This window comes from Homo sapiens, chromosome 10 (genome assembly GCF_000001405.40).
Source record: "Homo sapiens chromosome 10, GRCh38.p14 Primary Assembly".
NCBI lineage: Eukaryota > Metazoa > Chordata > Mammalia > Primates > Hominidae > Homo > Homo sapiens.
Genome location: NC_000010.11, coordinates 133,666,047 through 133,689,042, shown reverse-complemented (window position 1 = coordinate 133,689,042; position 22,996 = coordinate 133,666,047). Strand labels below are relative to the sequence as shown.

The 22,996-nt window shown below is 68.6% G+C and overlaps 6 pseudogenes, besides 1 other annotated feature; all 6 read right to left on the bottom strand.

Annotated features, from left to right (window-relative positions):
• Nucleotides 1,261-1,978: an enhancer, noted in NCBI's record as "OCT4-NANOG-H3K27ac hESC enhancer chr10:135500579-135501296 (GRCh37/hg19 assembly coordinates)". NCBI's record gives its function as "activates a minimal SCP1, AML or CMV promoter by ChIP-STARR-seq in naive and primed H9 embryonic stem cells {active_cell/tissue: H9 hESC(naive and primed)}" and the evidence as "EXISTENCE:reporter gene assay evidence [ECO:0000049][PMID:30033119]".
• On the bottom strand, nt 3,851-5,375 carry DUX4L20 (double homeobox 4 like 20 (pseudogene); annotated as a pseudogene).
• Nucleotides 7,150-8,674, bottom strand: DUX4L21 (double homeobox 4 like 21 (pseudogene); annotated as a pseudogene).
• DUX4L22 (double homeobox 4 like 22 (pseudogene)) lies at nt 10,460-11,984 on the bottom strand (annotated as a pseudogene).
• Nucleotides 13,770-15,294, bottom strand: DUX4L23 (double homeobox 4 like 23 (pseudogene); annotated as a pseudogene).
• Nucleotides 17,069-18,593, bottom strand: DUX4L24 (double homeobox 4 like 24 (pseudogene); annotated as a pseudogene).
• DUX4L25 (double homeobox 4 like 25 (pseudogene)) lies at nt 20,368-21,892 on the bottom strand (annotated as a pseudogene).

Sequence of the window (22,996 nt, the reverse complement as noted above, 5' to 3'; positions counted from 1 at the left end):
TGCACTGATCACCTGGGTCATATAACTCTTGTCTAGGCTCTGCCTACAGTGGCATTGTGACATATCTCTGCACTGATCACCCAAGTAATGGGACTCTTTTCTAGGATCTGCCTAAAGGGACTTTGTGACATAACTCTGCACTAATCATCCAGGTGATGGGGCTTTTGTCTAGGCTCTGCCTAAGGGGGCATTGTGACGTATTTCTGCACTGATCACCCAGGAGACGGACTCTTGTCTTGGATCTGCCTATGGGGGCATTGTGACATATATCTGCACTGATCACCCAGGTGATGTAACTGTTGTATAAGCTCTGCCTACAGGGGAATTGTGAGAGATCTCGCCACTGATCACCCAAGTGATGTAACTATTGTCTAGGCTTTGGCCTACAGGGGGCTTTGTGACATACCTTTGCTCTGATCACCCAGGTGATGTAACTCATCTAAGCTCTGCCTACAGGAGCTTTGTGACATATCTCTGCACTGATCACTTAGGTGATGTAACACTTTTATAAGCACTGCCTACAGGGAATTTCGACAAATCTCTGCACTGATCACCTAGGTGATGTAACTCTTGTCTACCCTCTGCCTACAGGGGGCGTTGTGAAATATCTCTGCACTGATCACCCAGGTGATGCAACTCTTGTCTAGGATCTGCCTACAGGGGGTATTGTGAAATATCTCTGCACTGATCAACTAGGTGATGTAACTCTTGTCTAAGCTCTGCCTACAGGGGCGTTTTCACATATCCCTGAACTGATGACAAAGGTGATGTAACTCTTGCCTAGGCTTTGCCTACAGGGGACATTGTGACATATCTCTGCACTGATCACCCAGGTGGTGCAACTCTTCTCTGTGCTCTGCCTACAGGGGACATTGTGACATATCTCTACACTGATCACCCAGGTGATGCAACTCTTCTCTATGCTCTGCCTACAGGGGGCATTGTGACATATCTCTGCACTGATCACCCAGGTAATGTAACTCTTTTCTAGTCTCTGCCTACAGAGGACGTTGTGACATCACTCTGCACGGATCACCTGGGTTATGTAACTCTTGTCTAGGCTCTGCCTACAGGGGCATTGTGACGTATCTCTGCACTGATCACCGAGGTGATGCAACTCTTGTCTGGGATCTGCTTACAGGGGGCATTGTGACATATCTCTGCCCTGATCACCCAGGTGATGTAACTCTTGTCTAGGCTCTGCCTACTGGAGACATTGTGACATATCTCCGCACTGATCACCCAGGTGATGTCACTTTTGTCAAGGATATGGCTACAGGGACATTGTGACATATCTCTGCACTGATCACCCAGGTGATGTAACCCTTGTCTAGGCTCTGCCAAAAAGGGGCATTGTGACATAACTCTGCACTGATCACCCAGGTGATGGGACTCTTGTCTAGGCTCTGCCTACAGGGGCATTGTGATATATCTCTGCAGTGATCACGCAGGTGATGTAACTCTTGTCTATATCTGCCTACTGGCGGCATTGTGGCATATTTCTGCACTGATCACCCAGGTGATGGACTCTTGTCTTGGATCTGCCTATGGGGGCATAGTGACATAACTCTGCAATGATCACTCATGTGATGTAACGCTTGTCTAAGCTGTGCCTAAAGGGGAATTGTGACACATATCTCCACTGATCACCCAGGTGATGTAACAATTTTCTGGGATTTGTCTACAGGGGGCTTTGTGACATATCTTTGCACTGATCACCCAGGAGATGTAACTCTTGTCTAGACTCGACCTACAGGGGCTTTGTGACATATTTCTGCACTGATAACCCAGGTGATGTAACTCTTGTCTAGGCTCTGCCTACAGGGGCTTTGTGACATATTTCTGTACTGATCACCCAGGTGATGTAACTCTTGTCTAGGCCCCACCTACAGGGGGTATTGTGACGTATCTCTGCAATGATCACCCAGGTGATGTAACACTCATCTAGGCTCTGCCTACAGGGGCGTTTTGACATAGCTCTGCACAGATCATCTAGGTGATGTAACTCTTGTCCACTCTCTGCCTACAGGGGGCATTGTGAAATATCTCTGCACTGATCACCCAGGTGATGGGACTCTTCTCTATACTCTGCCTAGAGGGGGATTTGTGACATATCTCTGCACTGATCACCCAGGTGATGGAAGTCTTGCCTAGGCTCTGTCTATGGGGGCATTGTGTCAAATATCTGCACTGATCACCCAGGTGAAGTAACTCTTGTCTAGGCTCTGTCTACAGGGATTTTTGTGACATATCACTGCACTGATCACCTAGGTGATGTAAACCTTGTATGGGCTTTGCCTACAGAAGGCTTTGTGACATATCTATGCACTGATCTCTGAGGTGATTCAACTCTTGTCTAGGCACTGCCTACAGGGGACACTGGTACATATCTCTGCACTGATCACCCAGGTGATGGACGCTTGTCTTAGATCTGCCTACATGGACATTCTGACACATCTCTGAACTGATCAACCAAGTGATGAAACTCTTGTCTAGGCTCTGCCTACAGGGGCTTTGTGACACATCTCTGCACTGATCATCCTGAGGAGGGAACTCTTGTCTACGCTCTGCCTACAGGAGGCTTTATGACTAATAATTACACTGATAAACTAGGTGATGTAACACTTGTCTAGGCTCTGCCTACACGGGAATTCTCACATATCTCTGCACTGATAACCTAGGTGATGTAACACTTGTCTAGGCCCTGCCTACAAGGGAATTCTCACGTATCTCTGCACTGATCCCCCAGGTGATGTAACTCCTGTCTAGGTTCAGCCTACAGGAGCGTTTTGACATATCTCTGCACTGATCACCCAGATGATGTAACACTTGTCTCAGCTCTGCCTACAGGGGCATTGTGACAGATCTCTCCAATGCTCACTCAGGAGATGTAAAAATTGTCTGGGCTTTGTCTACAGGGGGCTTTGTGATATATATTTCCACTGATCAAACAGGTGATGTAACCCTTGTCAAGGTTTGGCTTATAGGGGCTTTGTGAGATATCTCTGCACTGATCAGCCCAGGCAGGGAACACTTGCCTACACTCTGCCTACAGGAGGCTTTATGACTTATCCCTGCACTGATCACTAGGTGATGTAACAATTGTCTAGGCTCTGTCTACACGAGAATTTTAACATATCTCTACACTGATCACCTAAGTGATGTAACCATTCTCTAGGTTCAGTCTACTATGGAGTTCTGAAACACATCTGCACTGATCACCGAAGTTATGTAAATCAATTTCAGGCTTTTTCTACAGGGGATATTGTGACATATCTCTGCACTGATCACACAAAAGATGCAAATCCTCTATAGGATCCACAGGGAGGGGGAATTTTGATATATCTCTGAACTAATCATCCAGGAGATGTAACTCTAATCCAGGTTTGCCTAGACAGCCTCGGAAGGTGGGGGGAGAGATTCAGCCAGAATTTCACGGACGAACAAGGGCACAGAGAGGCCAGCGAGCTCCCTTGCACGTCACCCGGGGTGCGCACTGCGCGCAGGTCTAGCCAGGAAGCGGGCAAAGACAGACAGAGGTATGCTTTTGACCGCCAGGCGCTCCGTGCTGGCACCTGGGCGGCTGCAGGGGCCCGGGCGGGCGGGCGACGGTGGCGCGGGGGCGCAGAGGAGGCGAGCCGCCGGAGCGGTGTCAGGCCCGGACGCTGCGCGGGGCCCGGTGTTTCGCGGGACGGGGGTCTCCACCCAGCCCAGGGGACGACGCGTTTTCCGGGGGCGGGGGGTGGGGGTGGGGAGGGGGCGGTCAGGCGGCGGGGTGGGCTGGTGGAGAGGCAGGAGAGCTCTGCCCGGGCTGCTCCCACAGCCCAGGCGGCTGCCCGCAAACCCGCGCGTGCGCAGTAGGCGGCCCACCTGCTGGTACCTGGGCCGGCTCTGGGATCCCCGGGATGCCCAGGAAAGAATGGCAGTTCTCCGCTGTGTGGAGTCTCTCACCGGGCCTAGGCCTAGAAGGCAGGAATCCCAGGCCGGTCAGCCCGGTGGAGGGGGCGGGGCGGAGACACGCCCCTCCGTAGCCAGCCAGGCGTTCCCCGCGAAAGAGAGGCCACCGCCCTGCCCCGAACCACCCGACCCCGTCCCAACCCCGCGTCCTAAAGCTCCTCCAGCAGAGCCCGGTATTCTTCCTCGCTGAGGGGTGCTTCCAGCGAGGCGGCCTCTTCCGAGGCCTCCAGCTCCCCCGGGGCCTCCGTTTCTAGGAGAGGTTGCGCCTGCTGCAGAAACTCCGGGCTCGCCAGGAGCTCATCCAGCAGCAGGCCGCAGGGGAGTGCAGACCAGGGCGCCGGCTCCTGGAGCGCCTGGGAGGGCGCCGGGATGCCTTGCATCTGCCCCTGCCGCGCGGAGGCGTCCGGGGGCGCGGGCTGGGGAGGTGGAGCTGCCCCGGCTTGGGGTTCCCACGCCGCCCCGGCGACCTGGGGACCCCGGCCCCAGCCCCACCACGGACTCCCCTGGGACGTGGGTGGCGCAAGCACCCCTTGGCCCTGCGGCCCCGCTTGAGCGGGCCCAGGCTGTGCCACCGCGCAGGGGCCCGGCAGGCCGTCGCGCTGCGGGTCCCGGTCCTCCCGGCTTTTGCCCGGGTGCGGAGGCCACCGAGGAGCCTGAGGGTGGGAGAGCGCCCCGTCCGGAGGAGCCGGGGCGGCGTAGGCGAAATCCCCGCGCGCCGGGGCAGGTTGGGAGATCCCCTCTGCCGGCGCGGCCTGGCTGGGCTGCAGCGCGGGGGCGGCCCTCGCTGCCTGGCTCACGAAAGCCCCCTGTGGGAGAGCCCCAGGCGCGCAGGGCACGTGGGGTGCGGGAAGCCCCGTTCCCCACGCGCCGGTGTGGGCGAAGGCGACCCACGAGGGAGCAGGGTGACCCCCGCCGGGGGCCGCGCTGCACAGGCCGCCTGCCTGCGCGGGCGCCCTGCCACCCTGTCCCGGGTGCCTGGCCCTTCGATTCTGAAACCAGATCTGAATCCTGGACTCCGGGAGGCCCGTCTCTCTGGCCAGCTCCTCCCGGGCGGCGATGCCTGGAAAGCGATCCTTCTCAAAGGCTCGGAGGAGCAGGGCGGTCTGGGATCCGGTGACGGCGGTCCGCTTTCGCCGGCCTTCTGGCGGGCCGCGTCTCCCGGGCCAGGGCCGAGATTCCCGCCGGTGCTGCCTCAGCTGGCGTGACCTCTCATTCTGAAACCAAATCTGGACCCTGGGCTCCGGAATGCCGATGGCCTGGGCCAGCCGTTCTCTGGTGGCGATGCCCGGGTACGGGTTCCGCTCAAAGCAGGCTCGCAGGGCCTCGCTTTGGCTCGGGGTCCAAACGAGTCTCCGTCGCCGTCCTCGTCCCCGGGCTTCCGCGGGGAGGGTGCTGTCCGAAGGTGTCGGGAGGGCCATCGCGGTGAGCCCCGGCCGCAATTTCACGGACGGACGCGGGCAGAGAGAGGCCGGCGGGCTCCCGTGCACCTCAGCCGGACTGTGCACTGCGGCAGGTGCAGCCAGGAGGCCTGCCCGGACAGCCAGCCAGCCAGCCAGCCGCCCTTGTAAAGGCCCACGGGCAGGCAGGCTCCACCCCTTCATGAATGGCGGTGAGCCCCCCTGGGACAGCCCGCCCCACCCCGGAAGGGACCCAGGGCGTCGAGGCCTGGGGCCGGCCGGCGGGGTGGTGGTGGTGGTGGTGGTGGGGGGGGGGTGGTGGTGGGGGAGGGCGTGGTGGCGGTGGTGGTGGTGGGGCCGGAGAGACGAAGAGGAAGGTGGAGAGGGGGGAGGGGGGAGGGGGGCGCGTTTCGGGGGCCGGCTCTCCGGACCTCTCCAGGGATCCCGCGGGAACGGGAAGCCGCTCTCTGGGCTCCCACGCGTCGGCAGCAGGGAGAAACCAGCCTGGGAGGGTGGAGGGGAGTGTGGAACTGAACCTCCGTGGGAGTCTTGAGTGTGCCAGGCCCTCTCTCCGTGAAGGAGGCAATGCCTGTGGGCGTCGCCGTTGCCGGGACGGTCTCGCACACGCAGGCGTGTGGCTCTCGTTCATTTCCACGTAGAAGACCAGAGCGAGACCCCAGAGAGGAGATGCCTCCCCGGCGTGATGGCCTGACGATGGATTCCCGCGTGCGGCAACGTGGGGAGTCTGCAGTGTGGCCGGTTTGGAACCTGGCAAGGAGAGCGAAGGCACCGTGCCGGGCTTGCACCCTCCCCTGCATGTTTCCGGGTGCCCGCAGAGCTCCGGGAGCAAACAGTCGGCATGGCCAGCCTTTCGGGGGCCGGAGAGACGTGAGCAACAGGCCGCCTTGCAGAGGGCAAAGCCACGCGGAAACCAAAATCACGCCTCCGTCGTCCTGCGTGTGGCTCCTCCGTGGCCGGGGCTGTCGGCCTCGCGCCGCGTTGCAGGGCTCAGCCTGGGGATGTGCGGTCTGTGAACCGCGCGGGTGAAAACCCGACGGCAACCCGAGTCCCGGTCTTTTGTCCCGGAGGAAACCGCCCACTCCCTGGGCCCCGGAACCGGGGCGAATGGGTGGTGCCCCGCCGGCCGGCGCGGCGGCTGTGGGCCCAGCCCTCAGCCCGCGCCGGACGCTGACCGTTTTCCCGGAGGGCGGGGGTCCCGCTACTCCCGGAGGCCGAAGACCGCTTTTCCTCCCTGCCTTCCTCCCCCCGTCCCCGGCTCCCTCCCGCCCGCCCCCAGTCCCTGCGTCGCTCTGTCTTTCCCTCCGTTCCTCCCTGCCTCCCTGCCTCCCTGCCTCCCTCCCTCCCTCCTAACGTCCCTCCGCCCATCCTTCCGCCCCTCTAGGTCTCCCGTTCCTCTCTCCATCTCTGCCCGCCTTCCCTCCCGCCTGGAACGCTCAGCGTCCCCGGTGTGCGCCGGGCCTGGGGTCTGCGTTCCGCCGCCAGGCGCTCCGTGCTGGCACCTGGGCGGCTGCAGGGGCCCGGGCGGGCGGGCGACGGTGGCGCGGGGGCGCAGAGGAGGCGAGCCGCCGGAGCGGTGTCAGGCCCGGACGCTGCGCGGGGCCCGGTGTTTCGCGGGACGGGGGTCTCCACCCAGCCCAGGGGACGACGCGTTTTCCGGGGGCGGGGGGTGGGGGTGGGGAGGGGGCGGTCAGGCGGCGGGGTGGGCTGGTGGAGAGGCAGGAGAGCTCTGCCCGGGCTGCTCCCACAGCCCAGGCGGCTGCCCGCAAACCCGCGCGTGCGCAGTAGGCGGCCCACCTGCTGGTACCTGGGCCGGCTCTGGGATCCCCGGGATGCCCAGGAAAGAATGGCAGTTCTCCGCTGTGTGGAGTCTCTCACCGGGCCTAGGCCTAGAAGGCAGGAATCCCAGGCCGGTCAGCCCGGTGGAGGGGGCGGGGCGGAGACACGCCCCTCCGTAGCCAGCCAGGCGTTCCCCGCGAAAGAGAGGCCACCGCCCTGCCCCGAACCACCCGACCCCGTCCCAACCCCGCGTCCTAAAGCTCCTCCAGCAGAGCCCGGTATTCTTCCTCGCTGAGGGGTGCTTCCAGCGAGGCGGCCTCTTCCGAGGCCTCCAGCTCCCCCGGGGCCTCCGTTTCTAGGAGAGGTTGCGCCTGCTGCAGAAACTCCGGGCTCGCCAGGAGCTCATCCAGCAGCAGGCCGCAGGGGAGTGCAGACCAGGGCGCCGGCTCCTGGAGCGCCTGGGAGGGCGCCGGGATGCCTTGCATCTGCCCCTGCCGCGCGGAGGCGTCCGGGGGCGCGGGCTGGGGAGGTGGAGCTGCCCCGGCTTGGGGTTCCCACGCCGCCCCGGCGACCTGGGGACCCCGGCCCCAGCCCCACCACGGACTCCCCTGGGACGTGGGTGGCGCAAGCACCCCTTGGCCCTGCGGCCCCGCTTGAGCGGGCCCAGGCTGTGCCACCGCGCAGGGGCCCGGCAGGCCGTCGCGCTGCGGGTCCCGGTCCTCCCGGCTTTTGCCCGGGTGCGGAGGCCACCGAGGAGCCTGAGGGTGGGAGAGCGCCCCGTCCGGAGGAGCCGGGGCGGCGTAGGCGAAATCCCCGCGCGCCGGGGCAGGTTGGGAGATCCCCTCTGCCGGCGCGGCCTGGCTGGGCTGCAGCGCGGGGGCGGCCCTCGCTGCCTGGCTCACGAAAGCCCCCTGTGGGAGAGCCCCAGGCGCGCAGGGCACGTGGGGTGCGGGAAGCCCCGTTCCCCACGCGCCGGTGTGGGCGAAGGCGACCCACGAGGGAGCAGGGTGACCCCCGCCGGGGGCCGCGCTGCACAGGCCGCCTGCCTGCGCGGGCGCCCTGCCACCCTGTCCCGGGTGCCTGGCCCTTCGATTCTGAAACCAGATCTGAATCCTGGACTCCGGGAGGCCCGTCTCTCTGGCCAGCTCCTCCCGGGCGGCGATGCCTGGAAAGCGATCCTTCTCAAAGGCTCGGAGGAGCAGGGCGGTCTGGAATCCGGTGACGGCGGTCCGCTTTCGCCGGCCTTCTGGCGGGCCGCGTCTCCCGGGCCAGGGCCGAGATTCCCGCCGGTGCTGCCTCAGCTGGCGTGACCTCTCATTCTGAAACCAAATCTGGACCCTGGGCTCCGGAATGCCGATGGCCTGGGCCAGCCGTTCTCTGGTGGCGATGCCCGGGTACGGGTTCCGCTCAAAGCAGGCTCGCAGGGCCTCGCTTTGGCTCGGGGTCCAAACGAGTCTCCGTCGCCGTCCTCGTCCCCGGGCTTCCGCGGGGAGGGTGCTGTCCGAAGGTGTCGGGAGGGCCATCGCGGTGAGCCCCGGCCGCAATTTCACGGACGGACGCGGGCAGAGAGAGGCCGGCGGGCTCCCGTGCACCTCAGCCGGACTGTGCACTGCGGCAGGTGCAGCCAGGAGGCCTGCCCGGACAGCCAGCCAGCCAGCCAGCCGCCCTTGTAAAGGCCCACGGGCAGGCAGGCTCCACCCCTTCATGAATGGCGGTGAGCCCCCCTGGGACAGCCCGCCCCACCCCGGAAGGGACCCAGGGCGTCGAGGCCTGGGGCCGGCCGGCGGGGTGGTGGTGGTGGTGGTGGTGGTGGTGGTGTGGGGTGGGGGGGGTGGTGGGGGAGGGCGTGGTGGCGGTGGTGGTGGTGGGGCCGGAGAGACGAAGAGGAAGGGGGAGAGGGGGGAGGGGGGAGGGGGGCGCGTTTCGGGGGCCGGCTCTCCGGACCTCTCCAGGGATCCCGCGGGAACGGGAAGCCGCTCTCTGGGCTCCCACGCGTCGGCAGCAGGGAGAAACCAGCCTGGGAGGGTGGAGGGGAGTGTGGAACTGAACCTCCGTGGGAGTCTTGAGTGTGCCAGGCCCTCTCTCCGTGAAGGAGGCAATGCCTGTGGGCGTCGCCGTTGCCGGGACGGTCTCGCACACGCAGGCGTGTGGCTCTCGTTCATTTCCACGTAGAAGACCAGAGCGAGACCCCAGAGAGGAGATGCCTCCCCGGCGTGATGGCCTGACGATGGATTCCCGCGTGCGGCAACGTGGGGAGTCTGCAGTGTGGCCGGTTTGGAACCTGGCAAGGAGAGCGAAGGCACCGTGCCGGGCTTGCACCCTCCCCTGCATGTTTCCGGGTGCCCGCAGAGCTCCGGGAGCAAACAGTCGGCATGGCCAGCCTTTCGGGGGCCGGAGAGACGTGAGCAACAGGCCGCCTTGCAGAGGGCAAAGCCACGCGGAAACCAAAATCACGCCTCCGTCGTCCTGCGTGTGGCTCCTCCGTGGCCGGGGCTGTCGGCCTCGCGCCGCGTTGCAGGGCTCAGCCTGGGGATGTGCGGTCTGTGAACCGCGCGGGTGAAAACCCGACGGCAACCCGAGTCCCGGTCTTTTGTCCCGGAGGAAACCGCCCACTCCCTGGGCCCCGGAACCGGGGCGAATGGGTGGTGCCCCGCCGGCCGGCGCGGCGGCTGTGGGCCCAGCCCTCAGCCCGCGCCGGACGCTGACCGTTTTCCCGGAGGGCGGGGGTCCCGCTACTCCCGGAGGCCGAAGACCGCTTTTCCTCCCTGCCTTCCTCCCCCCGTCCCCGGCTCCCTCCCGCCCGCCCCCAGTCCCTGCGTCGCTCTGTCTTTCCCTCCGTTCCTCCCTGCCTCCCTGCCTCCCTGCCTCCCTCCCTCCCTCCTAACGTCCCTCCGCCCATCCTTCCGCCCCTCTAGGTCTCCCGTTCCTCTCTCCATCTCTGCCCGCCTTCCCTCCCGCCTGGAACGCTCAGCGTCCCCGGTGTGCGCCGGGCCTGGGGTCTGCGTTCCGCCTCCAGGCGCTCCGTGCTGGCACCTGGGCGGCTGCAGGGGCCCGGGCGGGCGGGCCACGGTGGCGCGGGGGCGCAGAGGAGGCGAGCCGCCGGAGCGGTGTCAGGCCCGGACGCTGCGCGGGGCCCGGTGTTTCGCGGGACGGGGGTCTCCACCCAGCCCAGGGGACGACGCGTTTTCCGGGGGCGGGGGGTGGGGGTGGGGAGGGGGCGGTCAGGCGGTGGGGTGGGCTGGTGGAGAGGCAGGAGAGCTCTGCCCGGGCTGCTCCCACAGCCCAGGCGGCTGCCCGCAAACCCGCGCGTGCGCAGTAGGCGGCCCACCTGCTGGTACCTGGGCCGGCTCTGGGATCCCCGGGATGCCCAGGAAAGAATGGCAGTTCTCCGCTGTGTGGAGTCTCTCACCGGGCCTAGGCCTAGAAGGCAGGAATCCCAGGCCGGTCAGCCCGGTGGAGGGGGCGGGGCGGAGACACGCCCCTCCGTAGCCAGCCAGGCGTTCCCCGCGAAAGAGAGGCCACCGCCCTGCCCCGAACCACCCGACCCCGTCCCAACCCCGCGTCCTAAAGCTCCTCCAGCAGAGCCCGGTATTCTTCCTCGCTGAGGGGTGCTTCCAGCGAGGCGGCCTCTTCCGAGGCCTCCAGCTCCCCCGGGGCCTCCGTTTCTAGGAGAGGTTGCGCCTGCTGCAGAAACTCCGGGCTCGCCAGGAGCTCATCCAGCAGCAGGCCGCAGGGGAGTGCAGACCAGGGCGCCGGCTCCTGGAGCGCCTGGGAGGGCGCCGGGATGCCTTGCATCTGCCCCTGCCGCGCGGAGGCGTCCGGGGGCGCGGGCTGGGGAGGTGGAGCTGCCCCGGCTTGGGGTTCCCACGCCGCCCCGGCGACCTGGGGACCCCGGCCCCAGCCCCACCACGGACTCCCCTGGGACGTGGGTGGCGCAAGCACCCCTTGGCCCTGCGGCCCCGCTTGAGCGGGCCCAGGCTGTGCCACCGCGCAGGGGCCCGGCAGGCCGTCGCGCTGCGGGTCCCGGTCCTCCCGGCTTTTGCCCGGGTGCGGAGGCCACCGAGGAGCCTGAGGGTGGGAGAGCGCCCCGTCCGGAGGAGCCGGGGCGGCGTAGGCGAAATCCCCGCGCGCCGGGGCAGGTTGGGAGATCCCCTCTGCCGGCGCGGCCTGGCTGGGCTGCAGCGCGGGGGCGGCCCTCGCTGCCTGGCTCACGAAAGCCCCCTGTGGGAGAGCCCCAGGCGCGCAGGGCACGTGGGGTGCGGGAAGCCCCGTTCCCCACGCGCCGGTGTGGGCGAAGGCGACCCACGAGGGAGCAGGGTGACCCCCGCCGGGGGCCGCGCTGCACAGGCCGCCTGCCTGCGCGGGCGCCCTGCCACCCTGTCCCGGGTGCCTGGCCCTTCGATTCTGAAACCAGATCTGAATCCTGGACTCCGGGAGGCCCGTCTCTCTGGCCAGCTCCTCCCGGGCGGCGATGCCTGGAAAGCGATCCTTCTCAAAGGCTCGGAGGAGCAGGGCGGTCTGGGATCCGGTGACGGCGGTCCGCTTTCGCCGGCCTTCTGGCGGGCCGCGTCTCCCGGGCCAGGGCCGAGATTCCCGCCGGTGCTGCCTCAGCTGGCGTGACCTCTCATTCTGAAACCAAATCTGGACCCTGGGCTCCGGAATGCCGATGGCCTGGGCCAGCCGTTCTCTGGTGGCGATGCCCGGGTACGGGTTCCGCTCAAAGCAGGCTCGCAGGGCCTCGCTTTGGCTCGGGGTCCAAACGAGTCTCCGTCGCCGTCCTCGTCCCCGGGCTTCCGCGGGGAGGGTGCTGTCCGAAGGTGTCGGGAGGGCCATCGCGGTGAGCCCCGGCCGCAATTTCACGGACGGACGCGGGCAGAGAGAGGCCGGCGGGCTCCCGTGCACCTCAGCCGGACTGTGCACTGCGGCAGGTGCAGCCAGGAGGCCTGCCCGGACAGCCAGCCAGCCAGCCAGCCGCCCTTGTAAAGGCCCACGGGCAGGCAGGCTCCACCCCTTCATGAATGGCGGTGAGCCCCCCTGGGACAGCCCGCCCCACCCCGGAAGGGACCCAGGGCGTCGAGGCCTGGGGCCGGCCGGCGGGGTGGTGGTGGTGGTGGTGGTGGTGGTGGTGTGGGGTGGGGGGGGTGGTGGGGGAGGGCGTGGTGGCGGTGGTGGTGGTGGGGCCGGAGAGACGAAGAGGAAGGGGGAGAGGGGGGAGGGGGGAGGGGGGCGCGTTTCGGGGGCCGGCTCTCCGGACCTCTCCAGGGATCCCGCGGGAACGGGAAGCCGCTCTCTGGGCTCCCACGCGTCGGCAGCAGGGAGAAACCAGCCTGGGAGGGTGGAGGGGAGTGTGGAACTGAACCTCCGTGGGAGTCTTGAGTGTGCCAGGCCCTCTCTCCGTGAAGGAGGCAATGCCTGTGGGCGTCGCCGTTGCCGGGACGGTCTCGCACACGCAGGCGTGTGGCTCTCGTTCATTTCCACGTAGAAGACCAGAGCGAGACCCCAGAGAGGAGATGCCTCCCCGGCGTGATGGCCTGACGATGGATTCCCGCGTGCGGCAACGTGGGGAGTCTGCAGTGTGGCCGGTTTGGAACCTGGCAAGGAGAGCGAAGGCACCGTGCCGGGCTTGCACCCTCCCCTGCATGTTTCCGGGTGCCCGCAGAGCTCCGGGAGCAAACAGTCGGCATGGCCAGCCTTTCGGGGGCCGGAGAGACGTGAGCAACAGGCCGCCTTGCAGAGGGCAAAGCCACGCGGAAACCAAAATCACGCCTCCGTCGTCCTGCGTGTGGCTCCTCCGTGGCCGGGGCTGTCGGCCTCGCGCCGCGTTGCAGGGCTCAGCCTGGGGATGTGCGGTCTGTGAACCGCGCGGGTGAAAACCCGACGGCAACCCGAGTCCCGGTCTTTTGTCCCGGAGGAAACCGCCCACTCCCTGGGCCCCGGAACCGGGGCGAATGGGTGGTGCCCCGCCGGCCGGCGCGGCGGCTGTGGGCCCAGCCCTCAGCCCGCGCCGGACGCTGACCGTTTTCCCGGAGGGCGGGGGTCCCGCTACTCCCGGAGGCCGAAGACCGCTTTTCCTCCCTGCCTTCCTCCCCCCGTCCCCGGCTCCCTCCCGCCCGCCCCCAGTCCCTGCGTCGCTCTGTCTTTCCCTCCGTTCCTCCCTGCCTCCCTGCCTCCCTGCCTCCCTCCCTCCCTCCTAACGTCCCTCCGCCCATCCTTCCGCCCCTCTAGGTCTCCCGTTCCTCTCTCCATCTCTGCCCGCCTTCCCTCCCGCCTGGAACGCTCAGCGTCCCCGGTGTGCGCCGGGCCTGGGGTCTGCGTTCCGCCTCCAGGCGCTCCGTGCTGGCACCTGGGCGGCTGCAGGGGCCCGGGCGGGCGGGCCACGGTGGCGCGGGGGCGCAGAGGAGGCGAGCCGCCGGAGCGGTGTCAGGCCCGGACGCTGCGCGGGGCCCGGTGTTTCGCGGGACGGGGGTCTCCACCCAGCCCAGGGGACGACGCGTTTTCCGGGGGCGGGGGGTGGGGGTGGGGAGGGGGCGGTCAGGCGGCGGGGTGGGCTGGTGGAGAGGCAGGAGAGCTCTGCCCGGGCTGCTCCCACAGCCCAGGCGGCTGCCCGCAAACCCGCGCGTGCGCAGTAGGCGGCCCACCTGCTGGTACCTGGGCCGGCTCTGGGATCCCCGGGATGCCCAGGAAAGAATGGCAGTTCTCCGCTGTGTGGAGTCTCTCACCGGGCCTAGGCCTAGAAGGCAGGAATCCCAGGCCGGTCAGCCCGGTGGAGGGGGCGGGGCGGAGACACGCCCCTCCGTAGCCAGCCAGGCGTTCCCCGCGAAAGAGAGGCCACCGCCCTGCCCCGAACCACCCGACCCCGTCCCAACCCCGCGTCCTAAAGCTCCTCCAGCAGAGCCCGGTATTCTTCCTCGCTGAGGGGTGCTTCCAGCGAGGCGGCCTCTTCCGAGGCCTCCAGCTCCCCCGGGGCCTCCGTTTCTAGGAGAGGTTGCGCCTGCTGCAGAAACTCCGGGCTCGCCAGGAGCTCATCCAGCAGCAGGCCGCAGGGGAGTGCAGACCAGGGCGCCGGCTCCTGGAGCGCCTGGGAGGGCGCCGGGATGCCTTGCATCTGCCCCTGCCGCGCGGAGGCGTCCGGGGGCGCGGGCTGGGGAGGTGGAGCTGCCCCGGCTTGGGGTTCCCACGCCGCCCCGGCGACCTGGGGACCCCGGCCCCAGCCCCACCACGGACTCCCCTGGGACGTGGGTGGCGCAAGCACCCCTTGGCCCTGCGGCCCCGCTTGAGCGGGCCCAGGCTGTGCCACCGCGCAGGGGCCCGGCAGGCCGTCGCGCTGCGGGTCCCGGTCCTCCCGGCTTTTGCCCGGGTGCGGAGGCCACCGAGGAGCCTGAGGGTGGGAGAGCGCCCCGTCCGGAGGAGCCGGGGCGGCGTAGGCGAAATCCCCGCGCGCCGGGGCAGGTTGGGAGATCCCCTCTGCCGGCGCGGCCTGGCTGGGCTGCAGCGCGGGGGCGGCCCTCGCTGCCTGGCTCACGAAAGCCCCCTGTGGGAGAGCCCCAGGCGCGCAGGGCACGTGGGGTGCGGGAAGCCCCGTTCCCCACGCGCCGGTGTGGGCGAAGGCGACCCACGAGGGAGCAGGGTGACCCCCGCCGGGGGCCGCGCTGCACAGGCCGCCTGCCTGCGCGGGCGCCCTGCCACCCTGTCCCGGGTGCCTGGCCCTTCGATTCTGAAACCAGATCTGAATCCTGGACTCCGGGAGGCCCGTCTCTCTGGCCAGCTCCTCCCGGGCGGCGATGCCTGGAAAGCGATCCTTCTCAAAGGCTCGGAGGAGCAGGGCGGTCTGGGATCCGGTGACGGCGGTCCGCTTTCGCCGGCCTTCTGGCGGGCCGCGTCTCCCGGGCCAGGGCCGAGATTCCCGCCGGTGCTGCCTCAGCTGGCGTGACCTCTCATTCTGAAACCAAATCTGGACCCTGGGCTCCGGAATGCCGATGGCCTGGGCCAGCCGTTCTCTGGTGGCGATGCCCGGGTACGGGTTCCGCTCAAAGCAGGCTCGCAGGGCCTCGCTTTGGCTCGGGGTCCAAACGAGTCTCCGTCGCCGTCCTCGTCCCCGGGCTTCCGCGGGGAGGGTGCTGTCCGAAGGTGTCGGGAGGGCCATCGCGGTGAGCCCCGGCCGCAATTTCACGGACGGACGCGGGCAGAGAGAGGCCGGCGGGCTCCCGTGCACCTCAGCCGGACTGTGCACTGCGGCAGGTGCAGCCAGGAGGCCTGCCCGGACAGCCAGCCAGCCAGCCAGCCGCCCTTGTAAAGGCCCACGGGCAGGCAGGCTCCACCCCTTCATGAATGGCGGTGAGCCCCCCTGGGACAGCCCGCCCCACCCCGGAAGGGACCCAGGGCGTCGAGGCCTGGGGCCGGCCGGCGGGGTGGTGGTGGTGGTGGTGGTGGGGGGGGGGTGGTGGTGGGGGAGGGCGTGGTGGCGGTGGTGGTGGTGGGGCCGGAGAGACGAAGAGGAAGGTGGAGAGGGGGGAGGGGGGAGGGGGGCGCGTTTCGGGGGCCGGCTCTCCGGACCTCTCCAGGGATCCCGCGGGAACGGGAAGCCGCTCTCTGGGCTCCCACGCGTCGGCAGCAGGGAGAAACCAGCCTGGGAGGGTGGAGGGGAGTGTGGAACTGAACCTCCGTGGGAGTCTTGAGTGTGCCAGGCCCTCTCTCCGTGAAGGAGGCAATGCCTGTGGGCGTCGCCGTTGCCGGGACGGTCTCGCACACGCAGGCGTGTGGCTCTCGTTCATTTCCACGTAGAAGACCAGAGCGAGACCCCAGAGAGGAGATGCCTCCCCGGCGTGATGGCCTGACGATGGATTCCCGCGTGCGGCAACGTGGGGAGTCTGCAGTGTGGCCGGTTTGGAACCTGGCAAGGAGAGCGAAGGCACCGTGCCGGGCTTGCACCCTCCCCTGCATGTTTCCGGGTGCCCGCAGAGCTCCGGGAGCAAACAGTCGGCATGGCCAGCCTTTCGGGGGCCGGAGAGACGTGAGCAACAGGCCGCCTTGCAGAGGGCAAAGCCACGCGGAAACCAAAATCACGCCTCCGTCGTCCTGCGTGTGGCTCCTCCGTGGCCGGGGCTGTCGGCCTCGCGCCGCGTTGCAGGGCTCAGCCTGGGGATGTGCGGTCTGTGAACCGCGCGGGTGAAAACCCGACGGCAACCCGAGTCCCGGTCTTTTGTCCCGGAGGAAACCGCCCACTCCCTGGGCCCCGGAACCGGGGCGAATGGGTGGTGCCCCGCCGGCCGGCGCGGCGGCTGTGGGCCCAGCCCTCAGCCCGCGCCGGACGCTGACCGTTTTCCCGGAGGGCGGGGGTCCCGCTACTCCCGGAGGCCGAAGACCGCTTTTCCTCCCTGCCTTCCTCCCCCCGTCCCCGGCTCCCTCCCGCCCGCCCCCAGTCCCTGCGTCGCTCTGTCTTTCCCTCCGTTCCTCCCTGCCTCCCTGCCTCCCTGCCTCCCTCCCTCCCTCCTAACGTCCCTCCGCCCATCCTTCCGCCCCTCTAGGTCTCCCGTTCCTCTCTCCATCTCTGCCCGCCTTCCCTCCCGCCTGGAACGCTCAGCGTCCCCGGTGTGCGCCGGGCCTGGGGTCTGCGTTCCGCCGCCAGGCGCTCCGTGCTGGCACCTGGGCGGCTGCAGGGGCCCGGGCGGGCGGGCGACGGTGGCGCGGGGGCGCAGAGGAGGCGAGCCGCCGGAGCGGTGTCAGGCCCGGACGCTGCGCGGGGCCCGGTGTTTCGCGGGACGGGGGTCTCCACCCAGCCCAGGGGACGACGCGTTTTCCGGGGGCGGGGGGTGGGGGTGGGGAGGGGGCGGTCAGGCGGCGGGGTGGGCTGGTGGAGAGGCAGGAGAGCTCTGCCCGGGCTGCTCCCACAGCCCAGGCGGCTGCCCGCAAACCCGCGCGTGCGCAGTAGGCGGCCCACCTGCTGGTACCTGGGCCGGCTCTGGGATCCCCGGGATGCCCAGGAAAGAATGGCAGTTCTCCGCTGTGTGGAGTCTCTCACCGGGCCTAGGCCTAGAAGGCAGGAATCCCAGGCCGGTCAGCCCGGTGGAGGGGGCGGGGCGGAGACACGCCCCTCCGTAGCCAGCCAGGCGTTCCCCGCGAAAGAGAGGCCACCGCCCTGCCCCGAACCACCCGACCCCGTCCCAACCCCGCGTCCTAAAGCTCCTCCAGCAGAGCCCGGTATTCTTCCTCGCTGAGGGGTGCTTCCAGCGAGGCGGCCTCTTCCGAGGCCTCCAGCTCCCCCGGGGCCTCCGTTTCTAGGAGAGGTTGCGCCTGCTGCAGAAACTCCGGGCTCGCCAGGAGCTCATCCAGCAGCAGGCCGCAGGGGAGTGCAGACCAGGGCGCCGGCTCCTGGAGCGCCTGGGAGGGCGCCGGGATGCCTTGCATCTGCCCCTGCCGCGCGGAGGCGTCCGGGGGCGCGGGCTGGGGAGGTGGAGCTGCCCCGGCTTGGGGTTCCCACGCCGCCCCGGCGACCTGGGGACCCCGGCCCCAGCCCCACCACGGACTCCCCTGGGACGTGGGTGGCGCAAGCACCCCTTGGCCCTGCGGCCCCGCTTGAGCGGGCCCAGGCTGTGCCACCGCGCAGGGGCCCGGCAGGCCGTCGCGCTGCGGGTCCCGGTCCTCCCGGCTTTTGCCCGGGTGCGGAGGCCACCGAGGAGCCTGAGGGTGGGAGAGCGCCCCGTCCGGAGGAGCCGGGGCGGCGTAGGCGAAATCCCCGCGCGCCGGGGCAGGTTGGGAGATCCCCTCTGCCGGCGCGGCCTGGCTGGGCTGCAGCGCGGGGGCGGCCCTCGCTGCCTGGCTCACGAAAGCCCCCTGTGGGAGAGCCCCAGGCGCGCAGGGCACGTGGGGTGCGGGAAGCCCCGTTCCCCACGCGCCGGTGTGGGCGAAGGCGACCCACGAGGGAGCAGGGTGACCCCCGCCGGGGGCCGCGCTGCACAGGCCGCCTGCCTGCGCGGGCGCCCTGCCACCCTGTCCCGGGTGCCTGGCCCTTCGATTCTGAAACCAGATCTGAATCCTGGACTCCGGGAGGCCCGTCTCTCTGGCCAGCTCCTCCCGGGCGGCGATGCCTGGAAAGCGATCCTTCTCAAAGGCTCGGAGGAGCAGGGCGGTCTGGGATCCGGTGACGGCGGTCCGCTTTCGCCGGCCTTCTGGCGGGCCGCGTCTCCCGGGCCAGGGCCGAGATTCCCGCCGGTGCTGCCTCAGCTGGCGTGACCTCTCATTCTGAAACCAAATCTGGACCCTGGGCTCCGGAATGCCGATGGCCTGGGCCAGCCGTTCTCTGGTGGCGATGCCCGGGTACGGGTTCCGCTCAAAGCAGGCTCGCAGGGCCTCGCTTTGGCTCGGGGTCCAAACGAGTCTCCGTCGCCGTCCTCGTCCCCGGGCTTCCGCGGGGAGGGTGCTGTCCGAAGGTGTCGGGAGGGCCATCGCGGTGAGCCCCGGCCGCAATTTCACGGACGGACGCGGGCAGAGAGAGGCCGGCGGGCTCCCGTGCACCTCAGCCGGACTGTGCACTGCGGCAGGTGCAGCCAGGAGGCCTGCCCGGACAGCCAGCCAGCCAGCCAGCCGCCCTTGTAAAGGCCCACGGGCAGGCAGGCTCCACCCCTTCATGAATGGCGGTGAGCCCCCCTGGGACAGCCCGCCCCACCCCGGAAGGGACCCAGGGCGTCGAGGCCTGGGGCCGGCCGGCGGGGTGGTGGTGGTGGTGGTGGTGGGGGGGGGGTGGTGGTGGGGGAGGGCGTGGTGGCGGTGGTGGTGGTGGGGCCGGAGAGACGAAGAGGAAGGTGGAGAGGGGGGAGGGGGGAGGGGGGCGCGTTTCGGGGGCCGGCTCTCCGGACCTCTCCAGGGATCCCGCGGGAACGGGAAGCCGCTCTCTGGGCTCCCACGCGTCGGCAGCAGGGAGAAACCAGCCTGGGAGGGTGGAGGGGAGTGTGGAACTGAACCTCCGTGGGAGTCTTGAGTGTGCCAGGCCCTCTCTCCGTGAAGGAGGCAATGCCTGTGGGCGTCGCCGTTGCCGGGACGGTCTCGCACACGCAGGCGTGTGGCTCTCGTTCATTTCCACGTAGAAGACCAGAGCGAGACCCCAGAGAGGAGATGCCTCCCCGGCGTGATGGCCTGACGATGGATTCCCGCGTGCGGCAACGTGGGGAGTCTGCAGTGTGGCCGGTTTGGAACCTGGCAAGGAGAGCGAAGGCACCGTGCCGGGCTTGCACCCTCCCCTGCATGTTTCCGGGTGCCCGCAGAGCTCCGGGAGCAAACAGTCGGCATGGCCAGCCTTTCGGGGGCCGGAGAGACGTGAGCAACAGGCCGCCTTGCAGAGGGCAAAGCCACGCGGAAACCAAAATCACGCCTCCGTCGTCCTGCGTGTGGCTCCTCCGTGGCCGGGGCTGTCGGCCTCGCGCCGCGTTGCAGGGCTCAGCCTGGGGATGTGCGGTCTGTGAACCGCGCGGGTGAAAACCCGACGGCAACCCGAGTCCCGGTCTTTTGTCCCGGAGGAAACCGCCCACTCCCTGGGCCCCGGAACCGGGGCGAATGGGTGGTGCCCCGCCGGCCGGCGCGGCGGCTGTGGGCCCAGCCCTCAGCCCGCGCCGGACGCTGACCGTTTTCCCGGAGGGCGGGGGTCCCGCTACTCCCGGAGGCCGAAGACCGCTTTTCCTCCCTGCCTTCCTCCCCCCGTCCCCGGCTCCCTCCCGCCCGCCCCCAGTCCCTGCGTCGCTCTGTCTTTCCCTCCGTTCCTCCCTGCCTCCCTGCCTCCCTGCCTCCCTCCCTCCCTCCTAACGTCCCTCCGCCCATCCTTCCGCCCCTCTAGGTCTCCCGTTCCTCTCTCCATCTCTGCCCGCCTTCCCTCCCGCCTGGAACGCTCAGCGTCCCCGGTGTGCGCCGGGCCTGGGGTCTGCGTTCCGCCGCCAGGCGCTCCGTGCTGGCACCTGGGCGGCTGCAGGGGCCCGGGCGGGCGGGCGACGGTGGCGCGGGGGCGCAGAGGAGGCGAGCCGCCGGAGCGGTGTCAGGCCCGGACGCTGCGCGGGGCCCGGTGTTTCGCGGGACGGGGGTCTCCACCCAGCCCAGGGGACGACGCGTTTTCCGGGGGCGGGGGGTGGGGGTGGGGAGGGGGCGGTCAGGCGGCGGGGTGGGCTGGTGGAGAGGCAGGAGAGCTCTGCCCGGGCTGCTCCCACAGCCCAGGCGGCTGCCCGCAAACCCGCGCGTGCGCAGTAGGCGGCCCACCTGCTGGTACCTGGGCCGGCTCTGGGATCCCCGGGATGCCCAGGAAAGAATGGCAGTTCTCCGCTGTGTGGAGTCTCTCACCGGGCCTAGGCCTAGAAGGCAGGAATCCCAGGCCGGTCAGCCCGGTGGAGGGGGCGGGGCGGAGACACGCCCCTCCGTAGCCAGCCAGGCGTTCCCCGCGAAAGAGAGGCCACCGCCCTGCCCCGAACCACCCGACCCCGTCCCAACCCCGCGTCCTAAAGCTCCTCCAGCAGAGCCCGGTATTCTTCCTCGCTGAGGGGTGCTTCCAGCGAGGCGGCCTCTTCCGAGGCCTCCAGCTCCCCCGGGGCCTCCGTTTCTAGGAGAGGTTGCGCCTGCTGCAGAAACTCCGGGCTCGCCAGGAGCTCATCCAGCAGCAGGCCGCAGGGGAGTGCAGACCAGGGCGCCGGCTCCTGGAGCGCCTGGGAGGGCGCCGGGATGCCTTGCATCTGCCCCTGCCGCGCGGAGGCGTCCGGGGGCGCGGGCTGGGGAGGTGGAGCTGCCCCGGCTTGGGGTTCCCACGCCGCCCCGGCGACCTGGGGACCCCGGCCCCAGCCCCACCACGGACTCCCCTGGGACGTGGGTGGCGCAAGCACCCCTTGGCCCTGCGGCCCCGCTTGAGCGGGCCCAGGCTGTGCCACCGCGCAGGGGCCCGGCAGGCCGTCGCGCTGCGGGTCCCGGTCCTCCCGGCTTTTGCCCGGGTGCGGAGGCCACCGAGGAGCCTGAGGGTGGGAGAGCGCCCCGTCCGGAGGAGCCGGGGCGGCGTAGGCGAAATCCCCGCGCGCCGGGGCAGGTTGGGAGATCCCCTCTGCCGGCGCGGCCTGGCTGGGCTGCAGCGCGGGGGCGGCCCTCGCTGCCTGGCTCACGAAAGCCCCCTGTGGGAGAGCCCCAGGCGCGCAGGGCACGTGGGGTGCGGGAAGCCCCGTTCCCCACGCGCCGGTGTGGGCGAAGGCGACCCACGAGGGAGCAGGGTGACCCCCGCCGGGGGCCGCGTTGCACAGGCCGCCTGCCTGCGCGGGCGCCCTGCCACCCTGTCCCGGGTGCCTGGCCCTTCGATTCTGAAACCAGATCTGAATCCTGGACTCCGGGAGGCCCGTCTCTCTGGCCAGCTCCTCCCGGGCGGCGATGCCTGGAAAGCGATCCTTCTCAAAGGCTCGGAGGAGCAGGGCGGTCTGGGATCCGGTGACGGCGGTCCGCTTTCGCCGGCCTTCTGGCGGGCCGCGTCTCCCGGGCCAGGGCCGAGATTCCCGCCGGTGCTGCCTCAGCTGGCGTGACCTCTCATTCTGAAACCAAATCTGGACCCTGGGCTCCGGAATGCCGATGGCCTGGGCCAGCCGTTCTCTGGTGGCGATGCCCGGGTACGGGTTCCGCTCAAAGCAGGCTCGCAGGGCCTCGCTTTGGCTCGGGGTCCAAACGAGTCTCCGTCGCCGTCCTCGTCCCCGGGCTTCCGCGGGGAGGGTGCTGTCCGAAGGTGTCGGGAGGGCCATCGCGGTGAGCCCCGGCCGCAATTTCACGGACGGACGCGGGCAGAGAGAGGCCGGCGGGCTCCCGTGCACCTCAGCCGGACTGTGCACTGCGGCAGGTGCAGCCAGGAGGCCTGCCCGGACAGCCAGCCAGCCAGCCAGCCGCCCTTGTAAAGGCCCACGGGCAGGCAGGCTCCACCCCTTCATGAATGGCGGTGAGCCCCCCTGGGACAGCCCGCCCCACCCCGGAAGGGACCCAGGGCGTCGAGGCCTGGGGCCGGCCGGCGGGGTGGTGGTGGTGGTGGTGGTGGTGGTGGTGTGGGGTGGGGGGGGTGGTGGGGGAGGGCGTGGTGGCGGTGGTGGTGGTGGGGCCGGAGAGACGAAGAGGAAGGGGGAGAGGGGGGAGGGGGGAGGGGGGCGCGTTTCGGGGGCCGGCTCTCCGGACCTCTCCAGGGATCCCGCGGGAACGGGAAGCCGCTCTCTGGGCTCCCACGCGTCGGCAGCAGGGAGAAACCAGCCTGGGAGGGTGGAGGGGAGTGTGGAACTGAACCTCCGTGGGAGTCTTGAGTGTGCCAGGCCCTCTCTCCGTGAAGGAGGCAATGCCTGTGGGCGTCGCCGTTGCCGGGACGGTCTCGCACACGCAGGCGTGTGGCTCTCGTTCATTTCCACGTAGAAGACCAGAGCGAGACCCCAGAGAGGAGATGCCTCCCCGGCGTGATGGCCTGACGATGGATTCCCGCGTGCGGCAACGTGGGGAGTCTGCAGTGTGGCCGGTTTGGAACCTGGCAAGGAGAGCGAAGGCACCGTGCCGGGCTTGCACCCTCCCCTGCATGTTTCCGGGTGCCCGCAGAGCTCCGGGAGCAAACAGTCGGCATGGCCAGCCTTTCGGGGGCCGGAGAGACGTGAGCAACAGGCCGCCTTGCAGAGGGCAAAGCCACGCGGAAACCAAAATCACGCCTCCGTCGTCCTGCGTGTGGCTCCTCCGTGGCCGGGGCTGTCGGCCTCGCGCCGCGTTGCAGGGCTCAGCCTGGGGATGTGCGGTCTGTGAACCGCGCGGGTGAAAACCCGACGGCAACCCGAGTCCCGGTCTTTTGTCCCGGAGGAAACCGCCCACTCCCTGGGCCCCGG